This window comes from Homo sapiens, chromosome 20, assembly GCF_000001405.40.
Source record: "Homo sapiens chromosome 20, GRCh38.p14 Primary Assembly".
NCBI classification, from domain to species: Eukaryota; Metazoa; Chordata; class Mammalia; order Primates; family Hominidae; genus Homo; species Homo sapiens.
In genome coordinates this window covers 53,690,061-53,692,395 of record NC_000020.11, presented here as the reverse complement: position 1 = coordinate 53,692,395, position 2,335 = coordinate 53,690,061, and the positions used below count along the sequence as shown (strand labels likewise).

Genomic DNA, 2,335 nt, shown 5'->3' with positions numbered 1-2,335 from the left:
AGCGATTCTCCTGCCTCAGCCTTCCGAGTGGCTGGGATTACAGGCACCTGCCACCACTCTCAGCTAATTTTTGTATTTTTTAGTACAGATGGGGTTTCACCATGTTGGCCAGGCTGGTCTCGAACTCCTGATCTCAGGTGATCCACCCATCTCAGCCTCCCAAAGTACTGGGATTACAGGCGTGAGCCACCGCGCCCGGCCTCCAGGTCAGTTTCTATGGCTGCAGTAGGTTCCAAAGTGTCTCTGATGGGTTCATTAACAAAGTCTTTTTTCCCTTTAACTCTAATGATCATACCTTGTTGAGGCTGAAAAACTCTACTCTTCCCTTTTTGAGCTGCTTCCCTCCAACCATTCACAGACCAGCTCATGTATGTATAAATGGACAGATTTGAGGGTATTTCATGTGACACAGCTTCATAATCCCACTCTACATATTCAAGACAAAAACAGCAACCCCTGCTTGGGGCTGAAGTCCTTCTAGATCCTTCCCTGTCCCATAAAGCCTTCTCCCAATGGCCGATCAGCTGCCAAACCCTATTGATTATATCCCTGCAGTGCCCTGGAGTCCTCCTGCCAGTCCTACTGTCATTGACTCAGCATCTTCAGGACCTCTTACCTACATAATTTAATAGCGTCTCTTCTTCCAGTTTTTCCTGCTTCCCTGGTTAAAAACACTATGAGTCAGCCGTGATACCTCCTTCCTCCTCGCCTTGCTTGTCTAAACCATCAACCTGTCCTGCCAATTTTGCTGCCCAAGAATCTCTCAAAACTGTTCACCCGCTTCATCTTCCCTACGGACACCCCTCCAATCTAACCTCCTACAGTTGATAATTGCAGGAGCTTCCACACTGGACCCTTGGCTTCCACTCCTGTGCTTATACAATCTATCTCCCTGATAGATACAATCTATCTGCTGCCTGAGTAAACTGGTGTTTTGTGTTTTTTTCTTTTTGAGACAGGGTCTCGCTCTGTCACCCAGGCTGGAGTGCAGCAGTACAATCATGGCTTGAATTCCTGGGCTCAAGTGATCCTCCTGCCATCATGTCCAGCTAATTTTTTTTTTCTTTTTTGTAGAGATGAAGTCTCACTATGTTGACCAAGCTGGTCTCAGACTCCTGGGCTCAAGTGATCCTCCTGCCTCAGCCTCCCAAGGCACTGGAATTATAGGCGTGAGCGACCACGCCTGGCGCTACTTGATCTTACCTAAAGACATCTGCATGTTTTCCTCATGCTGGCTCACTTTTTCCCCATCTATTCACCTTGAATTTTTTTTTTCCTCCAATTCATTCTTTAAAGTCCAGCTCTTTTTTCAATTTCAAAAAGTATGAAGTTTTAGAAGCCAGAAATCTAGGGCCTTTTTTTTTTTTCTTTTTGAGATGGTCTCGCTCTGTCACCCAGGCTGGAGTGCAGTGGTGTGATCTCAGTTCACTGCAAACTCCACCTCCCGGGTTCAAGTGATTCTCCTGTCTCAGACTCCCAAGAAGCTGGGACTACAGGTGTGTGCCACCATGCCCGGCTAATTTTTTGTATTTTTTTAGTAGAGACAGGTTTTCACCGTATTAGCCAGGATGATCTCAATCTCCTGACCTCATGATCCGCCCTTCTCAGCTTCCCAAAGTGCTGGGATACAGGGGTGAGCCACTGCGCCCATATAGGGCCTTTTTGAAAAAAATGTTTTTCCTAATGGTTAAATTTGTCAACTTAAAAAAAAAATTCAATCATCACCAAAAAAATAAATAAGAAAAAAAGAAAATTTAATCATCAGGCAAAGCTATTAAGCTTAATAAGGCAGACCCCAGTTTCTGCCTGTGTTTTACCTAGATCTCATTTGATCCCCATAACATTTTTAAGTGGGCCACTATCATTATCCCGATTTTCTGGACTGGGAAACTGAGTCTCAGGAAAGTGAAACAACCTGTACACATCCACATGATTTGTTAGGGGCAGAGTTGAGATTCAAACACACACAGTCTAGCTCCAGAGTTTAAATGCTTAGAAGCAAAGCTGGGCATATTGGCTCACGCCTGTAATCCCAGCACTTTGGGAGGCCAAGGTAGGTGGATCACTTGAGCTCAGGAGTTTGAGACCAGCCCGACCAACATGGTGAAACCCTATCTGTACTAAAAATACAAAAATTAGCTGGGCGTGATGGTACGTACCTGTAGTCCCGGCTACTTGGGAGGCTGAGGCACGAGAATCACTTGAATCTGGGAGGCGGAGGTTGCAATGAGCCAAGATCATGCCACTGCATTCCAGCCTGGGCGACAGAGCAAGACTCCATCTCAAAATAATAATAATAATAAAAGCCAGGTGTGGTGGCTTATGCCTGTAATCC

At 45.6% G+C, this 2,335-nt stretch overlaps 1 annotated feature.

Annotated features, from left to right (window-relative positions):
* Positions 579–1,078: an enhancer, noted in NCBI's record as "H3K4me1 hESC enhancer chr20:52307857-52308356 (GRCh37/hg19 assembly coordinates)". NCBI's record gives its function as "activates a minimal SCP1, AML or CMV promoter by ChIP-STARR-seq in primed H9 embryonic stem cells {active_cell/tissue: H9 hESC(primed)}" and the evidence as "EXISTENCE:reporter gene assay evidence [ECO:0000049][PMID:30033119]".